Here is a 22525-nt window from a genome sequence, read left to right on the forward strand (position 1 = left end):
GAAGTCCTGCCTCCTCGGGCCTGCTGACTGCTCCTCTCCTCCTCCTCCTCCTCCTTCCCCTCTTCCTCCCCTTCCTCCTCCCTCCCTCCCTCCTGGGGCTTCCCGCCAGCTGGCCCGGGGCCAGGCCTGCCACAGCCGCTGCTGTTGCAGTTGCTGCAGCCACTGCTTAGGCTGCTGCTCCTGGGGGCCCCAAACAGACTCCCTTAACCCCACACCTGCCGGGCCCTAGCCCCACTCTTGCAGGGAGGGGCTGCAGGGGGCGGGGCTCGGGGAGAAAGGGGAGGAGCTTGCAGGGAGGCGAGGGATTCCCTTACTTGTAGTCAATTGCTGCCATTGGCCTAGAGACACACAGAAGAGACGGAAGGCACAGGCCGGGAGGTGTGCTGCATGCCCACCCAGAAGTTCCCAGTCCCTGCTGTGGGGCAGCTGTGGCTGTTACTGTCATTCTCCTTTGGTTTTCACAGCAACTGCATTATTCCCCCCATTCCTTATTTTTAAAAGTGGATTATTGCCGGATCCCGGTGGTGGCTCATGCCTGTAATCTCCGCACTTTGGGAGGTCGAGGAAGGAGGATCGCTTGAGACCAGTTTGGACAATATAATAGCAAGACCCCATCTCTACAAAAAATAAAAAAAAATAGCTGGGCATGGTGATGTGCACCTATAATTCCAGCTACTCAAAGGTGGGAGGATCGCTTGAGCCCAGGAGTTCGTGACCAGCCTGGGCAATATAACGAGATCCCCATCTCTACAAAAAATTTAAAAAATTAGCACTTTGGGAGGCCGAGGCGGGCGGATCACGAGGTCAAGAGATTAAGACCATCCTGGCCAACATGGTGAAACCAAGTCTCTACTTAAAATACAAAAATTAGCCAGGTGTGGTGGCGGGCACCTGTAGTCCCAGCTACTCGGGAGGCTGAGGCAGGAGAATCACTTCAACCTGGGAGGCGGAGGTTGCAGTGAGTCGAGATCACGCCACTGCACTCCAGCCTGGTGACAGAGTGAGACTCCATCTTAAAAAAAAAAAAAAACTGAGTGTGGTGATGTATACCTGTAGTCCCAGCTACTCAGGAGGCTGTGAGGCAGGAGGATCTCTTGAGCCCAGGAGGTTGAGGATGCAGTGAGCCAAGATTGTGCCACTGCACTCCAGCCTGGGCAACAGAGTGAGACCATGTCTCAAAAAAAAAAAAAAAGTGGATTATTATGAAAATTTTCAAACATGCCATGCAGACATGGGGAGACCATGCAAACTCCACACAGATGGTGGTCCCAGCCCAAAATCAATTTTTAGAAAATCATCAATGTTATAATGAAATGACATTCAATGAAATGACATTGTGTGGGGGCCAGCTGTAGTTTGCTGGACTATTTGAAATCAGATCCTAGATGTTATACTATTCCCCTTTCCCCCAACCTGCCCCCGCCTTTTTTTTTAGAGACAGGGTCTCTCTCTCTCTCTGTTGCCCAGGATGGAGTGCAGTGGTGCGATCATAGCTCACCACAGCCTGGAACTCCTGGGCTCAAGCCATGCTCCTGCCTCAGCCTCCCAAGTAGCTGGGACCACAGACACACACTACTACGCCTGGCTAAATTTCTTTAAAAAAAAATTTTTTTTTTTGGTAGAGATGGGGATCTTGCAATGTTGCCCAGGGTGGTCTTGAACTCCCGGCCTCAAGTGATCCTCCTGCTTCTGCCTCCCTAGTAGCTGGGACCACAGGTGTATACCACCATACCTGGCTAATTTTTTAGTTTTTGTAGAGACAGGTTATTACTATGTTGCCCAGGCTGGTCTCGAATTCCTGGCCTCAAATGATACTTCCACCTGGGCCTCCCAAAGAGCTGACATTACAGGCGTGAGCCATGGTGCCTGGCCTCAGGGAAATTTCTAACCCCTCTTTTTTTGAGACGGAGTCTCGCTCTGTCGCCCAGGCTGGAGTGCAGTGGCTCTATCTCGGCTCACTGCAAGCTCCACCTCCCGGGTTCACGCCATTCTCCTGCCTCAGCCTGTAGCTGGGACTACAGGCACCCGCCACCATGCCCGGCTAATTTTTTGTATTTTTACTAGAGACGGGGTTTCCCCGTGTTAGCCAGGATGGTCTTGATCTCCTGACCTCGTGATCCGCCCGCCTCGGCCTCCCAAAGTGCTGGGATTACAGGCATAAGCCACCACGCCCGGCCTCTAACCCCTCTTTAGGGGTACGTAAAAATAAAACAATGCAATACCTACCCTCTTTATGTATTTATTCTTTATCTCTTTGTTAGAAGCATCCACACTTCTGTTTCTCTCCCTTAAGCCATAGTAACAACGGCTGCCATAGCCCAAGTCTGTGGGCCTCCCAAGTAGTGAAGTCTGGGAAGCAGCCTCCCACCTGCTCCCTACCCCTCTAGACTGCATCCCTCTGTCCCTTACAGAACCTTTTCTCCTCTAGCAACATTCAGAACACAGCCTTGGTCCCTCCTTCCCCAGACCCTCCTTCCTTCTTGCTGACTTGCTACAAACTATTCAAAAATTATCTTTGGGCAGTCTCTTTCTCTGCCTCAGGCACTGGTATCTGAGTCTAGAGGCCCTGGCACATTGTTGATCTCTGCAGAAATGTTTGTTGAGTAAATACATACAAATTTTTATATTTTAATTTGAGATGAAGTCTTGCTCTGTCACCCAAGCTGAAGTGCAGTGGCGTGATCTCAGCTCACTGAACCTCCGCCTCCCAGGTTGTGATTCTCCTGCCTCAGCCTCCCGAGTAGCCAGGATTGTAGGCACCCGCCACGACGCCTGGCTAATTTTTGTAGTTTTAGTAGAGATGGGCGTCTCATCATGTTGGCCAGGCTGGTCTCGAACTCCTGACCTCAAGTGATCTGCATGCCTCAGACTCCCAAAGTGCTGGGATTACAGACGTGAGCCACTGCTCCCGGCCTATACATATAAACTAATCATACTAAAGGTATAAATGTGAAATGGGTTTTAAGTGTTTTAATATTTCCCTCCCCTGGGAGCATTCTTAATAGCCTATAATATGTGGGACCTTTTACAATTTACAAGGCACTTTGGTATTATTTTACTACCCCTCCCCTTCCAAAGAATGGACTAAAGCCAGCTTGTCCAACCGCACGGGCAGCTTGTGGCCCAAGACAAATTGGTAAATTTTCTTAAAACGCCTAAGTTTTGGTTTTTGTTTTTGTTTTCGTTTTTTTTTTTTTTTTCTCTGAGACAAAGTCTCTCTCTCTCACCCAGGCTGGAGTGCAGTGGCCCGATCTGGGCTCACGTCAACCTCTGCCTTCCAGGTCAAGCGATTCTCCTGCCTTGGCCTCCCGAGTAGCTGGGATTACAGGCGCAGGCCACCATGCCCAGCTTATTTTTTCTATCTTTAGTAGACACGGGGTTTTGCCACGTTGGCCAGGCTGGTCTCAAACTTCTGATGTCAGGTGATCCACCAGCCTCGGCCTCACAAAGTGCTGGGATTTACAGGCGTGAGCCACCGCGCCCCGCCAGTGTTAAGAGTATTTTATGTGTGGCCCAAGACAAATTCTTCTTCCAATGTGGCCCAGGGAAGTTAAAAGAGTGGACATCCCCGGACTAAAGCGTCTCTCAGAGAGGTTGCACGATCTGCCTAAAGCCACACAGCAAGACTGCAAAGACGCTGCCATGGAAAGTAGCATTCGCAGGCTCCAGGGATCAGGCCGTGCCTATCTTTGCCGTGCCCATTTTCCAGCCCGTGGAAGGTACAACCGAGGTCTTCTCGAGCTGATTTACCCCCGCTGCAGAGCTGTGAGCCCAAGGGATTTCAGAGGGAGTTATTTCTAGGGGAGATAATGAGAAAAGAAAAGATAAATGAGAAAAGGGGAGGTCGAGGTCACGTCCCGTAGCGGCCCCCCGACAGTGCCAGGGTGGTAGCCGCGGTGGCCACACTCAGGTCGACCCTGGTCGTTGCGAGCGGCGCCGGGGGAGTCAAAGGTCACGAGAGGAGGACTCGGGCCACGGGGGCGGATAGCTTTGAGCCCAGACGGTGGAACGAGATCCGGGCACCCCCGGGAGGCTGCAGGGGGAGGCAGCCGATTCCCCCGCGAGCCAACTCAGGTGCTCTCCTGGCACCTGGGGGCGGTGGGGAAAGGGGGCGCGGCCGCCGGAGCACGCCCCCTGCTGGGCTGAGCCGCCGCCCGTCCCGTTCCCCACCCTCGGAGCCCCTCGGCCCGGAAAGCGGCACCCCCTGGCGGCCCCAGCGCCTCACTGCACCCCGGGCCCCGCAGCCGCAGCCTCGGCCCCGGACCGACGCTGGGTGCGGACCCGGGGCGCGCCGGGCGTACGGGTTGCACGGGGTGCACGGGGTACACGGTGCGGGGGCGTGGGCCCCAGGCTGCCGCTGGGGGGCGCCGCCGCACGCCGCTCCGCCGGGGCCGGGGAGACCGAACTCAGCACCGACCGGCCGGGCAGGGGGCGAGGGGCGGCGAGGAGCGGACGCCCAAAGACCGCGACGGGCTGGCGCCGGGCCCCCAGCGCCCCACGACCTTCCTCCGAATCTGCCCCCGCAGGCTCCGCGGCTCCCCCGCCCCGCGCCCCAGCCCCACGGCCCCGCGCCGCACGGCCGCTCCCGTTCCGTCCTTGGAGGGTGTGGAAGGGTGGGTTTGGGGCCGGGGGCGGGTCTGGGGGCGGACCCGGAGGCGGGGCTGTCTCTGCGGCAGGGCCCAGCTTCGCTCCCCCCGGTCTGTCTCTGTCTCTCCTCCTCCCTCCTCCTGCTCCGGGCGGAGCCCGGCATGGGGGGGCCGGCGCCCGGCAGGCCAGGTACGGTGATGGAGAACCTGGGGAGGCTTGGTGCAGGAAGGTTGGGGTGGGGGGACAAGGGACAGGGAGGATTGGCGGAGCGAAAGGCGGAGAAGCCCAGGGTAGCAGGACAAGGGGAAGGGGAGGGGTGCCAGGAACCTGGGGCCCTTGGATGGAGAAGGGGGATGAAGCAGGCCAGGTTTGGAACAGGGGAAGGGGGAGGACGGCTGTAAGGAGGGGCGCCTGGGAGGAGAAGTGAGGCTGAAGGCGAAAAGAAGAGTGTGGGTTTGGGGGAAGGAAAACCGGAGCAGGTATGGAGGCCGCAGCCCAGAAGGTAGCAGTGGGGCCAGACTGGAGCCCCCCGGGTGGGATTGAGGGGCGGGGACTGGAAGAGGAAAACCAGGGGGCCTCCCAAATCCTGGAGGAAGAAGAAGGTGATTGGGGCCATCAGCGAGGGAGGGAGGCAGAGACTAAACCATTGCTAAAGGGCCAGGGAGCCAGAATCGGGGTGGACCAAGGCCCAGGCCCGGGGAAGGACTGGAAGTGGGGGAAGGCAGGCAGTGGAGATAGATGGATGGGTGGTATTTTAGATACCCAACTCAGGGTGTCTCCCATCCTTCCTTCAGCGTCCCCACCCTGCCCTCATGAGATCCCCCTACAGCCCAAGATAGGGGGGAGAGTCTGACCATCTCCCCTTTTCCCAGTGGGGTGCAATGTACGCAAGTAGGCCCTGGGCATAACTCTGCCTGTAGGTGTGTCCAGTTCTGTGTAGCAGATTTGTGTGTGTCTGGAGGTCTGTGGGTGTGTCTGTGGGTGTTTATGTCTGTGTGCCTGTCTATCCCTAGGTTTCTGTTTACCTATGCCAATCTCTGCGTCTGGTCCTCTGTCTGTAGATGTGGGTCGGTGGCTCCGTGGTTTGTGTGTCTGAATGTGTACTTGTGTAGCTGAGGGGTTGCAGTCCGTTTGTGGGGCCTGTATGGGTGGTGGATCGGGATGTCTTTACACAAGAAGGGAATCTGTGTTGACCTGGTCTCTCCAGAGTGTGTATTTGGGGCTCTGAACACCTTTGTCGGGGTCTGTGTCTGTCTGTCTGTGGGTCCTCGAAGCTGTGTTGGGTTTTCTGTCTGTGTTTTCCTCTCTGAGGACCCGAGTCATGTCTCTTCTCCGTTTTCTCTCTTTCATTCATCCCTGGCCCCCACCCATCCCACCTTTCTTTTTTTTCCGTTCTCACCCACCCCGCCCGCCAGTGGATCCGGGACCCAGGGAGGGCCGCCCCCCGGGCCTGGTGGCACTGAGCAGGGCCCCCCAGCCCCCACCTCCTGCCCCACGAGATGAACCTCCTCTACCGAAAAACCAAGCTGGAGTGGAGGCAGCACAAGGAAGAGGAGGCCAAGAGGAGGTAAGGCTGCACCCCAGACTGCTCCCTTCCCTTCCGCACCTCTGCCTGCCCCCTCACTGGGCCACAGCCCTTCTCGGGGGCCGGCAGCCTTGTCATGAGTGAGCTCTCTGATCTCAGAGTCAGTACGGAATGGCCAGGATTGCACACACTGTCCTGGCCCAACTCCTGCTCTCCTGTGGGGGGGTTTACAGCCTAGGAGCACCCCTTTGGTTGTTCCCCATCCCCAGAGGCCCGAGTCACTCCTTCCTGACTCACCTCTGGCCTGTAGCCCTTCTCCTTTCTGCAAATTTGGGGCTGGCTGCGGGCTCTCCTGTCACCTGACCTTGGAAGGGGCAGGCCCCGCCTCTCTCCCAGGGTCTAGGGAAGGGGTCATTTCAGGGGCATCAGAGAACATCCACTTGGCCTCCTCCCAGTTTTCCCTGCTGGGGGAGGTGAGTGGTCAAGTGATGGGGTTGTGTGTGTGGTGGGCAGACATGCAGGCTGGGCCTTGCCAAAGAGCCAGGGCAGGGGACGACCTCCAGACCCCTGCAATCCCTGTCTGCCTCCCCGCTTGCCCTTCCAGGGACCTGGGGCCTGGCCTCTCCCATCCTTCTCTCCTTCTCCTCTTCTCTCCCATTGACTTCACAGCCACTTGGAGCCTGACTCACAGCCACCTCCCTTTTCCTTCCTCGCAACTGTGGAGTTTAATTCTTGTTGTTAATTAGATTAATCAGAGTGATCGCTGCAGCGATCTCTCCCTAATGAAGGGCTAGTAGACAGGGCCTTAATGAGTGCCCACCCCACACAGCTCTCCTCTCTTCCCTGCCAGCCGCCCCCCCAACCCTCTGCCACCCTCCACTCAGACAGAAGCTCAGGGACAGTGGAATGGAATGGGGGTGAGCCGGGGAGGCTGACAGAGAGAGAACAGCACCAGGGGAGAGGGAGGAAGAAGGATGGGCCAGGGAGGGAGGCTGCTCTGGTCCTGGAGGGGCACATCCTGCATCTGGGAGAGGAGGTGTGCCGTGGGGGCAGAGGTCACAGTGGCTGGGCAGGAGGGGTAACCAGAGGCCAGGTGTGGGCCACTGTGAGAGTGAGAGGGGCCAAGGAGCTGTGGGGGGCAGGCGTGTCCATCTGTGTTACCTGGGTTTGTATCTCTACCTCTGCACAAGGCTGTCCACACAGGTGCCCAGGCTGGGATCCGCCAGCCCCAGGGATGCTCCCCTGCAGGCATACTCACCCCTCTTCTCATCCCTGCCCCCAACTGCCTTGTGTTTTTAAAGCCCAAGATTCTGCCTGAAGCCCCTTCATTGGTGCCCTGGACCTTCTGGCAACCCTGTCCCCACCCAGGCTCCCGTCCTCTTCCCTGGGAAGCCACAGGGTTGCTGACACCTCTTGGGGTGGAGAAGGGGGATGCCCAGGTCCGAGGCCCTTCCTCCACTCCATCGTGGCCTTCTCTCCCCAGCTCCAGTAAGGAGGTGGCCCCCGCTGGCTCGGCTGGGCCCGCGGCCGGCCAGGGGCCTGGGGTCCGCGTGCGGGACATCGCCTCGCTGCGGCGCTCCCTCAGGATGGGTTTCATGACGATGCCCGCCTCCCAGGAGCACACCCCGCACCCCTGCCGCAGCGCCATGGCCCCACGCTCCCTCTCCTGCCACTCGGTGGGCAGCATGGACAGTGTCGGGGGTGGCCCTGGCGGGGCCAGTGGGGGCCTCACAGAGGACAGCAGCACCCGAAGACCCCCTGCCAAGCCCCGGAGACACCCCAGCACCAAGCTCAGCATGGTGGGGCCTGGGTCTGGGGCAGAGACGCCCCCCAGCAAGAAAGCAGGTGAGATACCCCCTATCTCTCCCTGGGGTGGAGCTGGGAGCTGGGAGGATCTATTCCACGCCCGGGGAGGCTTGCCGGGAGGGTTCATTCAGGGAAGAACCAAGGAAGTGGAAGATTCCATTCTCAAAAGGAATTGGGGGGGTCCTTTTGGATGGGCCTGAGATGAACCATTCAAGGGCAGGGGACACTCCCTGAAAAGTTCTTGAGAAAGGGGTGGTGGCCTCAGAGGGACAATGAAGGTAGGAGCTGCGAATTCTGGAGAATACGTTAGAAAGACTGAGGGCTGTGGGACAAGCCCCGTGGCTCACGCCCGTAATCTCAGCACTTTTTTTTTTTTGAGACAGAGTCTCGCTCTGTTGCCCAGGCAGGAGTGCAGTGGTGCGATCTCAGCTCACTGCATCCTCCGCCTCCCAGGTTCAAGCAGTTCTCCTGCCTCAGCCTCCCAGGTAGCTGGGATTACAGGCGTCCGTCACCACGCCCGGCTAATTTTTTGTATTTTTAGTAGAGACAGGGTTTCGTCTTGTTGGCCAGGCTGACAAGGCCAGGCTTGCTGGCCTCAGGTGATCCACCCACCTCGGCCTCCCAGAGTGCTGGGATTACAGGCGTGAGCCACTGTGCTTGGCCAATTAATTGACGTTTTAAAAAGACCAAGGGCTGACTAGTAGAAAAGGAACCTACAGCTGGGCATGGTGGCTGATGCCTGGAATCCTAGCACTTTAGGAGGCCGAGGCAGGAGGATCCCTTGAGCCCAGGAATTTGGGACCAGTCTGGGCAACATGGCAAGACCCATCTCTATTAAAAAATAAAAAAGAAATGAAGAAACCTCCTGGGGCTGTAAGTTGAGGAATGTGGGGAAAAGGAAGAGGCAGATATGTCCTTGCAGAAGGGTCAAGGGATCAGAATGGGCTCCTCCCACTTGCTCCCCTCATTAAAAGCCTGGTTTATTTTTCTCTTTCTTGTCCTGTCCAGGCTCACAGAAGCCAACCCCAGAGGGCCGAGAGTCCAGCCGGAAGGTTCCTCCGCAGAAGCCCAGGCGAAGCCCTAACACCCAGCTCTCTGTCTCCTTCGATGAGTCCTGCCCCCCAGGCCCCTCTCCTCGAGGGGGGAACCTGCCTCTTCAGCGCCTCACTAGGGGGTCCCGAGTAGCTGGGGACCCTGATGTGGGTGCCCAGGAAGAGCCTGTGTACATTGAGATGGTGGGGGACGTCTTTAGGGGAGGAGGACGAAGTGGAGGAGGCCTGGCTGGGCCCCCTCTTGGGGGTGGGGGCCCGACCCCTCCAGCGGGCGCCGACTCGGACTCTGAAGAGAGTGAGGCCATCTATGAAGAGATGAAGTACCCGCTGCCGGAAGAGGCTGGGGAAGGCCGGGCCAATGGCCCTCCACCATTGACGGCAACATCCCCGCCACAACAGCCTCACGCCCTTCCGCCCCATGCCCACCGCCGCCCAGCTTCAGCCCTCCCGAGCCGGAGGGACGGGACGCCCACCAAGACCACTCCTTGTGAAATCCCCCCGCCCTTCCCCAACCTCCTTCAGCACCGGCCTCCACTCCTGGCCTTCCCCCAAGCCAAGTCTGCTTCCCGAACCCCTGGCGATGGGGTCTCAAGGCTACCTGTCCTCTGCCACTCCAAGGAGCCAGCCGGCTCCACCCCAGCTCCCCAAGTGCCTGCACGGGAGCGGGAGACGCCTCCCCCACCGCCTCCACCTCCTGCTGCCAACCTGCTGCTGCTGGGACCATCGGGCCGGGCCCGGAGCCACTCGACACCGTTGCCACCCCAGGGCTCTGGCCAGCCCCGGGGGGAGCGGGAGCTCCCCAACTCCCACAGCATGATCTGCCCTAAGGCGGCGGGGGCGCCGGCAGCCCCCCCTGCCCCGGCCGCCTTGCTCCCCGGCCCCCCCAAGGACAAGGCCGTGTCTTACACCATGGTGTACTCGGCGGTCAAGGTGACCACGCACTCTGTCCTGCCAGCTGGTCCACCCCTGGGTGCTGGGGAGCCAAAGACGGAGAAGGAGATCTCGGTCCTCCATGGGATGCTGTGTACCAGCTCAAGGCCCCCTGTGCCAGGGAAGACCAGCCCCCACGGTGGGGCCATGGGCGCAGCAGCTGGGGTCCTCCACCACCGCGGCTGCCTGGCCTCCCCCCACAGCCTTCCGGACCCAACTGTAGGCCCCCTGACCCCGCTGTGGACCTACCCAGCCACAGCAGCTGGGCTCAAGAGACCCCCTGCCTATGAGAGCCTCAAGGCTGGGGGGGTGCTGAATAAGGGCTGTGGTGTGGGGGCCCCATCCCCCATGGTCAAGATCCAGCTGCAGGAGCAAGGGACCGATGGGGGTGCTTTTGCCAGCATCTCCTGTGCCCACGTCATCGCCAGCGCAGGGACACCAGAGGAGGAAGAAGAGGAGGTGGGCGCCGCGACATTTGGGGCAGGCTGGGCCCTGCAGAGGAAGGTCCTCTATGGAGGGAGAAAAGCAAAGGAGTTGGACAGTGAGTGAGGGGTGGGGAGTGGGGGCTGGCATCAGGGGTGGGGGGCAGCTGGGGATGCCTGCGATGGTTTGGGGGAGGTGTTGGAGGGGTTATTTGGAAGTCACAGCCTTGAGTCTGGGATGTTTTCTAGGAGACCAGAGAGGTGGGGGTGGGCGATAGACAGAAAGACCGGGGTCCCCCAGTGTGCGCTGGAGGGGCAGGAAGGTCTGGGAGGCGAAGGGGGTCAAATCTGGCCCTGTCCTGCTCTGCTCCCTGCCCCTCCCTTCCCGGGGCTGCAGGGGTGTGTGCTTGTGAGTGTGCGCACCAGGAACTAAACACAGCTGCCTCCCAGCTGTTACCATGGCAACCCATCCAGACAGGAGGGAGAGGAGAGGGAGGCCCCTACCGTTGCCTGGCAACGCAATGCTCTGCCAGGCCTCCTCTCAGAGATGAGCTTAGTTCACAGGCAGCCCTTCCCCCCAGCGCTCCCCCTTCTGGGCTCAGGAATTGGGATTCTCCCCCTACAGGTCTTGATCCCAGGGGGATGGTCATTCTCGCCCTATCTGGAGATGGAGGGGCTTGGAAGCTAAAGCTGCGGTTGGGGAGGCCCCTCTGACCAGGGAAAAGGGTTTGGATGCAGCACATAGACATGATTCTCAGCCCCAAGAGATGGTACCAATGGGTGGAAAGGAAGGGGTGTGTGTGTGTTTGTATGTATGTTGGGGGAGTGTGAAGGAGCCCCATCCCAGCCGTTACTTGCAAAAGGGGCAATTGTGTCTCCTGGTCCACCCATACTGCAGCATGTGTGGCCAGAGGGACAGAATGACGCCTCCAACATGCAGGCACACAGCTCTCCTTGTCATCCCAGCAGAGGTCGAGGACGGTGCCCGGGCCTGGAATGGCAGTGCCGAGGGTCCAGGCAAGGTGGAGCGTGAGGACAGGGGCCCTGGGACATCGGGGATCCCAGTGAGAAGCCAGGGGGCAGAGGGACTGCTGGCCAGGATCCACCATGGAGACCGAGGAGGGAGCCGCACCGCGCTGCCCATTCCCTGCCAGACCTTCCCCGCCTGCCACCGCAATGGAGGTGACGCGGCCTGCACACACCTGTGCACAGCGGGGCTGGCTGGGGGATCTCCCGGGGTCTAGCTGCACCTGTCCTGACTTCCTCTCACCTGTTCACGTCTGTGCCCAGGGCCCTAAATCCTCATACCACATCTCCACCCCTTTTTCCCTTCTGATGAGGCAGGGGCAGCCTGGACCATTCAAGGGCAGGGGACTGGGAACTAGGGGAGGGGTACCTGAGGCCCCTGCACTCCTCACTCCTCCTTCTTCCACCTCAGACTTCACGGGAGGCTACCGCCTGGGGCGCTCCGCCTCCACCTCCGGAGTCCGGCAGGTCGTGCTCCACACACCCCGGCCCTGCAGCCAGCCCAGGGATGCCCTGAGCCAGGTGAGGCTTGGTTTTTCTTTTATTTGTGAAGGAGCAGGTGGAGAAGGCTTGAATATGCAAAGAAAAGCAATAAAGGGGCCAGGGCTGGGCACAGTGGCTCATGCCTGTAATCCCAGCACTTTGGGAGGCCAAGGTGGGAGGGTCACTTGAGGCCAGAAGTTCATTAGCTTGAGCAACATAGTGAGACCCTGTCTCTATTTTTTCTTTTTTTTAAAAGAAGGCTAGTTGCAGTGGCTCACACCTGTAATCCCAATGCTTTCAGAAGCCAAGGCAGGTAGATTGCTTGAGCCCAGGAGGTCGAGACCAGCCTGGACCACATAGTGAGATCCCATCTCTATAAAAAATGCAAAATGTAGTCAGGTGTGCCGTCGCAAGCCTGAATTCCCAGCTACTCTGGAGGTTGAGGTAGGAAGATGGCTTTACCCTGGGAGGTGGAGGTTGCATTGAGCCATGATCACGCTACTGCGTTCCAGTCTGAGCCACAGAGTGAGACCCTGTCTTAGAAGAAAAAAAAAAAAAGAAAGAAAGGGGCCAGGCAGGGTGCGGTGGCTTACGCCTGTAATCACAGCACTTTGGGAGGCCGAGGCGGGCAGATCACTTGAGGTCAGGAGTTTGAGACCAGCCTGGCCAATGTGGTGAAACCCTGTCTCTACTAGAAATACAAAAATTAGGGCCAGGTGCGGTGGCTCATGCCTGTAATCCCAGCAGTTTGGGAGGCTGAGGCGAGTGGATCACAAGGTCAGGAGTTCAAGACTAGCCTGACCAACATAGTGAAATCCCATCTGTACTAAAAATACAAAAATTAGCCGGGCGTGGTAGCGCACGCCTGTAGTCCCAGCTACTCGGGAGGCAGAGGCATAAGAATCGCCTGAACCCGGGAGACGGAGGTTGCAGTAAGCCAAGATCGCACCACTGCACTCCAGTGGCCTGGGCAACAGAGAGAGACTCTGTCTCAAAAAAAACCAAAAAACAAAAAACAAAAACCCCACAGAAATTAGCTGGACATTGGGGCAGGCACCCGTAATCCCAGCTACTCGGGAGGCTGAGGCAGGAGAATTGCTTGAACCCGGGAGACGGAGGCTGCAGTGAGCCAAGATCATGCCACTGCACTCCAGCCTGGGCGACAGAGTTAGACTCTGTCTCAAAAAAAAAAAAAGGGGCCAGGCAGACTGGGGCCTGAGCCAGCGCAGACAGCGGGAACCCAGGAATGAGAGTGAGGGGGTTGGGAGAGGATCTGGGAAGGGTTTGAGGGTTTGCTTAAGATGGGCAGCAAGGTAGGGCCCAGCTTGGAGATCAGTCAGGGCCACCACTAGCCAACAGCACACCTTTGTGCGATTTAGGAAAAAGACCTCCCCACTGGGCACTATGTCTTGTGCCTGCAATCCCAGAACTGTGGGAGGCAGAGACGGGAGGATCGCTTGAACCCAGGAGGCTGAGGTTGCAATGAACTACGATCCCACCACAGCACTCTATCCTGGGTGTAAGGGCAAGACCGTGTCTCAAAAGAAATAAAAATAAAGAGGTCAAGCATGGTAGCTTACGCCTATAATCCTAGTACTTTGGGAGGCCGAGCCAAGAGAAGTGGTTGAGCCTAGGAATTCTGTACCAGCCTGGGCGACATAGGGAGACCCTGTCTTTACAAAAAATTTAAAAATTATCCAGACATGCTGGTGCATGCTTGTGGTTCCAGCAACTCTGAAGGCTGAGGCAGGAGAATCACTTGAGCCTGGGAGGTGGAGGTTGCAGTGAGCCATGGTCGTTCCACTGCACTCCAGCCTGGGTGGCAGAGGGAGAACCTGTCAAAAGAAAGAAAAAGAGAGAGAGTGAGAGAAAGAAGGAAGAAAGAGAGAAGGAGAGAAAGAGAGAAAGAAAGCAAGCAAGAAAGAAAAGAAAGCAAGAAAGAAAAGAGAAAGAAAGAAAGGGAGGAAAGGAGGAAGGGAGGGACCTTGTCTACCCTTGCCCCAGCTGGACACGGTAGTTGATACCTGTGATCCCAGTGCTTTGGGAGGCCAAGATGAGAGGATCCCTTGAGGCCAGGAGTTCAAGACCAGGCTTGGCAACAAAGCAAGATCCCATAAATACAAAAATAAACTTTAATTTAATTTTTTAACAATTAGCTGGTGTAGTGGTAAATGCCTGTAGTCCCAGCTACTTGGGAGGGAGGCTGACACTGGAGGATTGCTTGAGCCCAGGAGGTCGAGGCTGCAGTGAGCTATGATTGCACCACTGCACTCTGGCCTGGGCGACAGAGCCAGACCCTGTCTCAAAAAGACAAAAGAAAGAAAAAAAAGGGGAGATCCCTTCTAGGGGGACCAACTTAAAAAATGCACCTGTCTAGGAAGACTAGGGAGTGGCTGGGCCAAAGCTGCGCAAGTTGGATTTTGGCCCCCATGGGCCCCACAGCCAGAGGGAGCCAGCAGAGGCCGTTGGGGGGCAAGCAAGGACTTGCTTCTGAGGGGAGACGTGGGTCTCGGCAGTGCGGACCCGTCCGGTCATGCTGAGGTCCCCGACCTTACCCGCGTTTTCCTTTCTCCCCCGCCCGCGGCACAGCCCCACCCCGCGCTGCCGCTGCCTCTGCCCCTGCCGCCCCAGCCGGCCCGCGAGCGTGACGGGAAGCTGCTGGAGGTGATCGAGCGCAAGCGCTGCGTGTGCAAGGAGATCAAGGCGCGCCACCGCCCGGACCGAGGCCTCTGCAAGCAGGAGAGCATGCCCATCCTCCCCAGCTGGCGGCGGGGACCCGAGCCCCGCAAGTCCGGCACCCCGCCCTGCCGCCGGCAGCACACGGTCCTCTGGGACACCGCCATCTGAGGCGGGCGGGGGGGTACCGGGGCGCCTGGACTGGGGAGGGGGCGGGCACGCCTGGCTCTCCCGGGAGCCTCGCCTTGAGAGACATTGAAAGACTACGTGGGAGAGTGCCAGGGAGAACCCCTGCCCTCCAACCTACCCCCCGGGATGGGGAGAGTCTGCCAGGCCCATTGGGCTTAGGATGCCAACAGCGCTGCTGAGAAACGGAGGAGGAGGAGGGTTTGCTTGAGGTTGGGGCGAGAGTCGCTCTGGCTGTTCTTCCCGCTGGGCGTTGTACACCCCTCCTCCTGAACCAAGCCAGAGGTCAGCATGGGGAAGGGAGGAAGGAAGGGATGGGAGGAAGAGGGGGGTGGGTGAGCTGAAAGAGAGGGACTAGAGTGCCAGATGGAGGAGCTCTTTTCTAGAGAGCCGGGAGTTGGGGAGGGGGTATTTATTTTGTTATTTATTTCAGTCTGGAGGGCGATTCTGGGCCTTTCTGACCTACTCCTGAGCTAGGAGTGGAGAATCAGGGCCAAGTTTGCACTCTCCCCAATGCCAATGCCTAAAGGCCCCGCCGTCCATGCCACCCCACAGCCAAGGAGGGGTCTGCATGGGGAGTGGACCGAGAGAAGAAGGGGCCCAGGGAAGCAGAGGGCCCAAGACCATTCACAGTATTTACAATTTGCCAGAATTTGGTAGTCAGTGTGGCCTGCTCTGAATCAGGCATCTTATTTAGTTCTGGGGTGAGGGTCTAGTGCCAGGGATGGGCAGGATGATGGGGGAGGAGGAGGGAAATTTTAGCGGGTGGAGGGGGTGGGCAGGGTATTTATTTAAATTAAAAAACAAAACAGAAGAGATGTCAGGAACTTTTTTTTAATTCCTTTCTTTTCAGAATAATATATTAAAAGACTCATGATCCTAAAGCTGGCTTCTTCTATTTCACAGCGTGCTCTGCTATTCTTACACTTGCTCCTTTTCCCATCTTGCCCCTGGTTGGTGGGAGTTGAAGGTTGTGCGGGGAGGGGTGAGTAGCTGTGGCCAAGTCACAGGGCGAGGTGGAGTTCCAGGTAAGTCTTTGGGAATGCACTGGGCCATGACTCCATTAGCATTTTTTTTGTGCACAGAATGTGTTCTTGGCATTGCACTGATGCAGAAGGAATATTTGGGCATGAAGCTTGCCTTCAAGTACCTTGTGATCTACTCAGATGACCTCCACTGAGATGACAATAAACTGTTGAAGGAGTAAGAGAGGGGGGACAGGGCCAAGCGTGGTGGCTCACACCTGTAATTCCAGCACTTTGGGAGGTCGAGGTGGGCAGATCACCTGAGGTTAGGAGTTCAAGACCAGCCTGACCAACATGGTAAAACCTTATCTCTACTAAAAAAAAAAATACAAAAATTAGCCGGGTGTGGTGGCGATATATCCCAGCTACTTGGGAGGCTGAGGCAGGAGAATCACTTGAACTCAGGAAGTGGAGGTTGCAGTGAGCTGAGATCATGCCACTGCACTTCAGCCTGGGCGACAGAGCGAGACTCTGTCTCAACAACAACAATGAAAGAAAAGAAAAAAGAGGGGGTACAGGGCTGGAATCATCTAAGAAGGCTTCCTGCAAAGTTACCCTAAAAGGACAGGTAAGCTAGTCTGGGCAACATAGAGAAACCCCATCTCTACAAAAAATACAAAAATTAGCCAGGTGTGAAGGCATGCGCCTTTAGTCCCAGATACTCAGGAAGCTGAGGTGGGAGGATGGCTGGAACCTAGAAGGCAGAGGCTGCAGTGAGCAGAGATCATGCCACTGCACTCCAGCTTGGGCAACAGAATGCGATCCTGTCTCAAAAAAAAAAAAAAAAAAAAGGACAGGTGAAGTTTGGGGAGGGGAAGAGGCAAACTCCCAAGGTCACGGTCATGGTTTTGATTGTCTATGGAACAGTAGGAGATGGGGGCAGGGGGAGGTAGGAAGTATGTTTAAATGATGGTGATGGCATTAAGAGGTCCAGCCATGGGACAGATCACCTGAGGTTGGGAGTTCGAGACCAGCCTGACCAACATGGAGAAACCCCGTCTCTACTAAAAAATACAAAAAAATTAGCTGGGCATGGTGGCGCATGCCTGTAATCCCAGCTACTCAGGAAGCTGAGGCAGGAGAATCGCCAGAACCCGGGAGGCAGAGGTTGCAGCAGTGAGCCGAGATCACGCCATTGCACTCCAGCCTGGGCAACAAGAGCGAAACTCCATCTCAAAAAAGAAGGGGGTCCAGCCATGGTGAAGCGGGCCACAAGGCAAGACTCAGGTCCTCACTAGGGAAGCCAGGGGAATCCTGCTGGGAGGTGATCTGTCACCAGGGAGGAGGATAAGGAGGATGCCTGGGAGGATGGAGGGCTAGGGACAGTTGCAAGAGGCCACTGAAAGGAAACCTTAGGATGGGAGTGAAGGAGCAGAATTGGTCATACAAGAAGCCCAAGTTTGGAGGTCTGGTGATCGGGGAACTGACAGAGTGAGGCAGGTGGGCTTGAGAGTGACTTTGGAGGAAGAACATTGAATTTGAAGCAATGATGAATATTTAGGTTGAATGGTTTGTTACTGAATAGAACAGAGTTTCGGAAAATGTGGTGGATAGCCAGACGTGGTGGCTCACGCCTGTAATCCCAGCACTTCGGGAGGCCCGAGGCAGGAGGATCACTTGAGGCCAGGAGTTCAAGACCAGCCTGGGCAACATAGAACCCCCCATCTCTACAAACAATAATAAAAAAAAATAGTTGGGCTTGGTGGCACACGTTTGTAATCCCAGTTACTCAGGAGGTTGAGGTGGGAGGATCGCTTGAGCTCAGGAGGTCAAGGCTGCAGTGAGCCATGGTTGCTTCACTGCATTCTAGCCTGGGCAACAGAGTGAGACCCCGTCTCAAAAAAAAAAAAATGTGGTAGATGCCACAAGAGATGTTTTTACACTTTATGAAGAAGAGCATTTTTTTTTAAACTGTAATAGTTTTGTATTTATTTTCACTTATATTAGAAAAGTTATAACCAATACATAAGGCTACTTGTTATTTCATGAATGTGATTACACAAGATAAGTCTAGAGTTATTTTTAATGAGCTGGTTTAAAGAAAAAATGTTAAGCCAATAAATAATAGTACAGGCAATGTACAGAATATGAAAAATTATGACAGTGGTATGTGAGTATTTGAAATTTAGGAAACAAGTTAAAAGTAAAATGATGATAGCTCAGGAGACAGGACAAGACTATGGACATTAGGAGTAATTGACATAGAAATGGCACTCAAGCCCAACACAGCTGACCTCTGCAAGGAGGGCAGGGCTAGAGAAAAGAGCTAGGGATGAAATACAGGCCAGGCACAGTGGCTCATGCCTGTAGTCCCAGCACTTTGGGAAGCCAAGGTTAGAAGATCGCTTGAGGCCAGGAGTTTGAGACAAGCCTGGGCAACAAAGCTAGACTTCATCTCTACAAAAAAAATTAATAAAAATTAGCTGGATGTAGTGGTGAGCACCTGTAGCTGGAGCTACTCAGGAGGCTGAGATGGGTGGATCGCTTCAGCCCAGGAATTGGAAGCTGCAGTGAGCTATGATCCCTTCACTGCATTCCAGCCTGGGCAACAGAGTGAGACCCCAACTTGAAAAAAACAAAACAAAACAAAAAACAAAACCCAAGATATAAACAGGCAGTAGCTCTTTTTAACTAGCCAGAAAATTAGACCGGGTGAGGTGGCTCATGCCTGTAATCCCAGCACTTTGGGAGGCCGAGGCGGGCAGATCACTTGATATCAGAAGTTCGAGACCAGCCTGGCCAATATGGTGAAACCCTGTCTCTACTAAAAATACAAAATTAGCTGGGTGTGGTGGCGGGCACCTGTAATCCCAGCTACTCAGAAGGCTAAGGCAGGAGAATTGCTTGAACCCGGGAGGCAGAGGCTGCAGTGAGCCGAGATCGCACCACTGCACTCCAGCCTGGGTGACAGAGCAAGACTCTGTCTCAAAAAAAAAAAAAAAAAGTTAATTAATGGAAGGGGCTGGGTGCAGTGGCTCACGCTTGTAATCCTAGCACTTTGGGAGGCCGAGGTGGGTGGATTGCCTGAACTTGGGAGTTCGAGACCAGCCTGGACAACATGGCAAAATCCTCTCTAGTGAAAATGAAAAAAATTAGCCGGGCATGGTAGTGTGTGCCTGTAGGTCCCAGCTATTGAGGAGGCTGAAGCAGGAGAATCACTTGCATCTGGGAGACGGAGGTTACAGTGAGCCAAGACCATGTAGCTGCATTCCAGCCTGGGCAACAGAGCAAAACTCTGTCTCCAAAAAAATTAAAAAAAAAAAGGAAAGGAAAATTAATGGAAGGAAATATCCCATTCATAAGAGCAATAAAAACCTTAAAATAAATAGGAGTAACATTAACAAGAAATTATAGAACCTATATTGGATCAGTTGATAACACTAAAGTATTTTGAGTCACTTAAAAAGGGAAGACCTTGGCTGGCCGTGGTGGCTCACACCAGTAATCCCACCACTTTGGGAGGCTGAGGCGCATGGATCACCTGAGGTCAGGAGTTCGAGAGCAGCCTGGCCAACATGGTGAAACTCTGTCTCCACTAAAAATACAAAAATTAGCCAGGCATAGTGGTGAGTACCTGTAGTCCAAGCTACTCTGGAGTCTGAGGCAGGCAAATCACTTGAACCCAGGAGGTGGAGGTTGCAGTGAGCAGAGATTGTGCTACTGCACTCCAGCCTGGGGGCCAGAGCGAGACTCCATCTCAAAAAAATAAAAGTAAAAATAAATACAAAAATACAAAAGGAAAACCTTCAGGACAAACAGCTATCGTGGAGCGAGGGAGAAGGAAGGCTTGTGGGGTCAAGCACAGTGGCTCACACCTGTAATCCCAGCACTTTGGGAGGCCCAGGCAGGAGGATGACTTGAGCCCAGGAGTTCCAGATCAGCCTGGGCAACATAGCAAGACCTTGTCTCTACAAAAAGTTAAAAGAAAAAAAAAAGGCTAGGCATAGTGGCATGTGCCTGTAGTCCCAGCTACTCAGGAGGCTGAGGTGTAAGGATCACTTAAGCCCAAGGAAATCAACACTGCAGAGAGCTATGATTGCACCACTGCCCTCCAGCTTGGGCAACAGAGCAAGAACCTGTCTTAAAAAAAAAAAAAAAAAGGGCCGGGCGTGGTGGCTCACACTTGTAATCCCAGCACTTTGGGAGGCTGAGGCGGGCAGATCACAAGGTCAGGAGATCAAGACCATCCCGGCTAACACAGTGAAACCCCATCTCTACTAAACAAAATACAAAAAATTAGCCGGACGTGGTGGCGGGCACCTGTAGTCCCAGCTACTCGGGAGGCTGAGGCAGGAGAATCTCTTGAACCCGGGAGGCGAGCTTGCAGTGAGCTGAGATCACGCCACTGCACTCCAGCCTGGGCGACAGAGTGAGACTCTGTCTCAAAAAAAAAAAAAATTAATTAATTAATTTAAAAAGACTTGAATAATCAAATGGTAATAACTTGTTCTTAGATAAGAAGATTGGATGATATAGAAGATGTCAGTTTTCCCTAAATCCGTAAATTCAATGCAGTCTCTAAATCCCAAAAGGATTATTTGGGAAACTTGATAAAATAATTTGAAAGTTTATGCAGAATGATAATGAGAAAAACCAGAACATTCTGAAACAGAAGAGTAATAGGGGGACCTGCCCTATCAAATATTAAAACAGGAAATAAAAGTCAAAGCATGCTTGTCCTGGCACAGGACTGGCATAATCCATATAATCCATCGGAATGAAGCGTCCAGAAATAGCCCCAAATGCACATGGGAATTTAGCACTTATAAAGATGATATTGCACATTGGTTGGGAAAAGATTCCTTATTCAATAATTGTTCCTTTCTAAATTTTATTTTTATTTATTACCATTATTTGAGACAAGAGTTTCACTCTGTTGCTCAGGCTGGAGTGCAATGGCATGACCATAGCTCACTGCAGCCTCGAACTCCTGGCCTCAAGTGATCCTCCCACCTCAGTCTCCCGAGTGGGACTATAGGCATGCACCACCACACCAGGATAATTAAAAAAAATGGAGTCTCACTTTGTTGCCCGGGCTGGAGTACAGTGGCGTGATCTCAGATCACTGCAACCTCCGCTTCCTGGGTTCCAGCAATTCTCCTGCCTCAGCCTCCCGAGTAGCTGGGACTACAGGCACGTGTCACCATGCCCAGCTAATGTTTTGTATTTTTAGTAGAGATGGGGTTTCACCATGTTAGGGAGGATGGTCTTGATCTACTGAACTCGTGATCCACCCGCCTTGGCCTCCCAAAGTGCTGGGATTACAGACGTGTGCCACCATGCCCAGCCTAAAAAAATATTTTGTATAGAAAGAGTCTCACTGTCTTGCCCAGGCTGATCTTGAACTCCTGGCCTCAAGCGATCCTCCTGCCTAGACCTTCCAAAATGTTAGGATTACAGGTGTGAGCCACTGCGTCTAGCCATATTTTATATATTTTTTTAGAGACAAGGTTTTGCTCTGTCATCCAGGCTGGAGTGCAGTGGTGCGATCATAGCTCATTGCAGCCTCACCGTCCTGGCTTCTAGCGATCCTCCTGACTTGGCCTAATAGTTGTTTCTTAAAGAATTAACTACTCAGAAGGGGGAGGGTGGGAAGCTGCATCTCTATTTCATTTATTATGCCAAAGGACTTCAGTGTAAAAACAAACATTAAAAGGAAAATGTGGGCCGGGCAAGGTGGCTCACGCCTGTAATCCCAGCACCTTGGGAGGCAGAGGTAGGCGGATCACCTGAGATTAGGAGTTTGAGACCAGCCTGGCCAACTTGGTGAAACCCTGTCTCTACTAAAATACAAAAAAAAAAAAAAAAAATTAGCCAGGTATGGTGGCAGGCACCTGTAATCCAAGCTAATTGGGAGACTGAAGCAGGAGAATTGCTTGAACCCAGGAGGCAGAGATTGCAGTGAACCAAGATGGCGCCACTGCACTCCAGCCTGGGCAACAGAGTGAGACTCTGTCTCAAAAAAGGCCAAGGCAGGAGGATTGCTTGAGCACCAGAGTTCTAGACCAGCCTGGTCAACATAGCAAGACCCCATCTCTTTAAAACAAAAAAATACTTCTATATGGCAAGTCAAACTACAAACATATTTCTAACACATATGAAAAAGATTAATACAATAGGATTGCTTGAGCCCAGGAGTTCCAGACCAGCCTGGACAACATAGCGAGACCCCATCTCTTTAAAACAAAACAAAAATACTTCTATATAGCAAGTCAAACTACAAATATATTTCTAACACATATGAAAAAGATTAATACAGTATATAGGTTCATGAGTCAATAAGAAGAGGAGAAAGGAACCCAGACAGATATGAACAAGAACATAAACAAATAACTTACCAGATACAGAAGTTAAGAGTAAACATGTTCAGCCTTAGCATTAATGAAATAATGCAAAATAAAACAATAATAAAATACTTTTCACCTTTCAGACAAAACTGAAGAAAATTTATAACATCAGTATGGCAAATATATGCAGAAAAGTCATTCATTATGTAAATATAAATTAATATAGCCCTTTTGAAGGTCAGTTTCATATTTATTTAAAAATAAAATGTGTATAGTTTTGACTCAGAAATTCCACTTCCAGGAATTTTTTTCCTAGAGAGACTGTCTCTAAAACAAACCAATGAAACCCCTCATTTATTACATTTATGAGACAATTGGGAATATTACCACTGACTGGATATATTTGATGGTATTAAGGAATTATTATTAATTTTTAGGCATGATAATGCATTGTGGGTATATATTTTTAAAAGTCCTTAAAGAAATAATACTGAAATATTAATGAAGAAATTATACAAGG

The 22525-nt window shown here is 54.0% G+C and overlaps 1 protein-coding gene across 1 annotated transcript, besides 11 other annotated features; it reads left to right on the forward strand.

The window, feature by feature from the left end:
• Positions 145–304: a silencer, noted in NCBI's record as "silent region_18437". NCBI's record gives its function as "represses an Ori minimal core promoter by ATAC-STARR-seq in GM12878 lymphoblastoid cells {active_cell/tissue: GM12878}" and the evidence as "EXISTENCE:reporter gene assay evidence [ECO:0000049][PMID:35858748]".
• Positions 395–504: an enhancer, noted in NCBI's record as "active region_26369". NCBI's record gives its function as "activates an Ori minimal core promoter by ATAC-STARR-seq in GM12878 lymphoblastoid cells {active_cell/tissue: GM12878}" and the evidence as "EXISTENCE:reporter gene assay evidence [ECO:0000049][PMID:35858748]".
• Positions 4038–4427: a silencer, noted in NCBI's record as "silent region_18438". NCBI's record gives its function as "represses an Ori minimal core promoter by ATAC-STARR-seq in GM12878 lymphoblastoid cells {active_cell/tissue: GM12878}" and the evidence as "EXISTENCE:reporter gene assay evidence [ECO:0000049][PMID:35858748]".
• Positions 4090–4305: a silencer, noted in NCBI's record as "fragment chr7:100080938-100081153 (GRCh37/hg19 assembly coordinates)". NCBI's record gives its function as "represses an EF-1alpha promoter that drives an FKBP-Casp9 reporter gene in an ReSE screen in phorbol 12-myristate 13-acetate-treated (for megakaryocytic differentiation) K562 erythroleukemia cells {active_cell/tissue: K562(+PMA)}" and the evidence as "EXISTENCE:reporter gene assay evidence [ECO:0000049][PMID:32094911]".
• Positions 4478–4747: a silencer, noted in NCBI's record as "silent region_18439". NCBI's record gives its function as "represses an Ori minimal core promoter by ATAC-STARR-seq in GM12878 lymphoblastoid cells {active_cell/tissue: GM12878}" and the evidence as "EXISTENCE:reporter gene assay evidence [ECO:0000049][PMID:35858748]".
• On the forward strand, positions 4702–15577 carry NYAP1 (neuronal tyrosine phosphorylated phosphoinositide-3-kinase adaptor 1). Its single transcript, NM_173564.4, has 7 exons — positions 4702–4776; positions 6003–6154; positions 7596–7957; positions 8927–10441; positions 11292–11504; positions 11761–11870; positions 14421–15577. The coding sequence occupies exons 2-7, from the start codon at positions 6087–6089 to the stop codon at positions 14676–14678; spliced, it is 2526 nt and encodes an 841-aa protein (NP_775835.2). The 5' UTR covers positions 4702–4776; positions 6003–6086; the 3' UTR covers positions 14679–15577.
• Positions 4997–5523: an enhancer, noted in NCBI's record as "H3K4me1 hESC enhancer chr7:100081845-100082371 (GRCh37/hg19 assembly coordinates)". NCBI's record gives its function as "activates a minimal SCP1, AML or CMV promoter by ChIP-STARR-seq in primed H9 embryonic stem cells {active_cell/tissue: H9 hESC(primed)}" and the evidence as "EXISTENCE:reporter gene assay evidence [ECO:0000049][PMID:30033119]".
• Positions 7101–7395: a silencer, noted in NCBI's record as "tiled region #11703; K562 Repressive non-DNase unmatched - State 7:EnhWF". NCBI's record gives its function as "represses a minimal TATA promoter and a strong SV40 promoter by Sharpr-MPRA in K562 cells {active_cell/tissue: K562}" and the evidence as "EXISTENCE:reporter gene assay evidence [ECO:0000049][PMID:27701403]".
• Positions 7961–8255: an enhancer, noted in NCBI's record as "tiled region #1011; HepG2 Activating non-DNase unmatched - State 20:ReprD, and K562 Activating DNase unmatched - State 8:EnhW". NCBI's record gives its function as "activates a minimal TATA promoter and a strong SV40 promoter by Sharpr-MPRA in HepG2 and K562 cells {active_cell/tissue: HepG2 | K562}" and the evidence as "EXISTENCE:reporter gene assay evidence [ECO:0000049][PMID:27701403]".
• Positions 10961–11486: an enhancer, noted in NCBI's record as "H3K4me1 hESC enhancer chr7:100087809-100088334 (GRCh37/hg19 assembly coordinates)". NCBI's record gives its function as "activates a minimal SCP1, AML or CMV promoter by ChIP-STARR-seq in primed H9 embryonic stem cells {active_cell/tissue: H9 hESC(primed)}" and the evidence as "EXISTENCE:reporter gene assay evidence [ECO:0000049][PMID:30033119]".
• Positions 11487–12010: an enhancer, noted in NCBI's record as "H3K4me1 hESC enhancer chr7:100088335-100088858 (GRCh37/hg19 assembly coordinates)". NCBI's record gives its function as "activates a minimal SCP1, AML or CMV promoter by ChIP-STARR-seq in primed H9 embryonic stem cells {active_cell/tissue: H9 hESC(primed)}" and the evidence as "EXISTENCE:reporter gene assay evidence [ECO:0000049][PMID:30033119]".
• Positions 14646–14765: a silencer, noted in NCBI's record as "silent region_18440". NCBI's record gives its function as "represses an Ori minimal core promoter by ATAC-STARR-seq in GM12878 lymphoblastoid cells {active_cell/tissue: GM12878}" and the evidence as "EXISTENCE:reporter gene assay evidence [ECO:0000049][PMID:35858748]".
• Positions 15578–22525: the final 6948 nt, after the last annotated feature.

The sequence above is a fragment of the Homo sapiens genome, chromosome 7 (assembly GCF_000001405.40).
Source record: "Homo sapiens chromosome 7, GRCh38.p14 Primary Assembly".
Taxonomy (NCBI): Eukaryota; Metazoa; Chordata; class Mammalia; order Primates; family Hominidae; genus Homo; species Homo sapiens.

Excerpts from the sequence above, each read along its gene's own strand:
- NYAP1 (NM_173564.4), top strand. The coding sequence starts at position 6,087 with ATGAACCTCCTCTACCGAAAAACCAAGCTGGAGTGGAGGCAGCACAAG. Across the intron at positions 6,155-7,595 it reads GAAGAGGAGGCCAAGAGGAG|CTCCAGTAAGGAGGTGGCCC; the intron begins GTAAGGCTGCAC and ends TTCTCTCCCCAG. Across the intron at positions 11,505-11,760 it reads CGCCTGCCACCGCAATGGAG|ACTTCACGGGAGGCTACCGC; the intron begins GTGACGCGGCCT and ends CTTCCACCTCAG.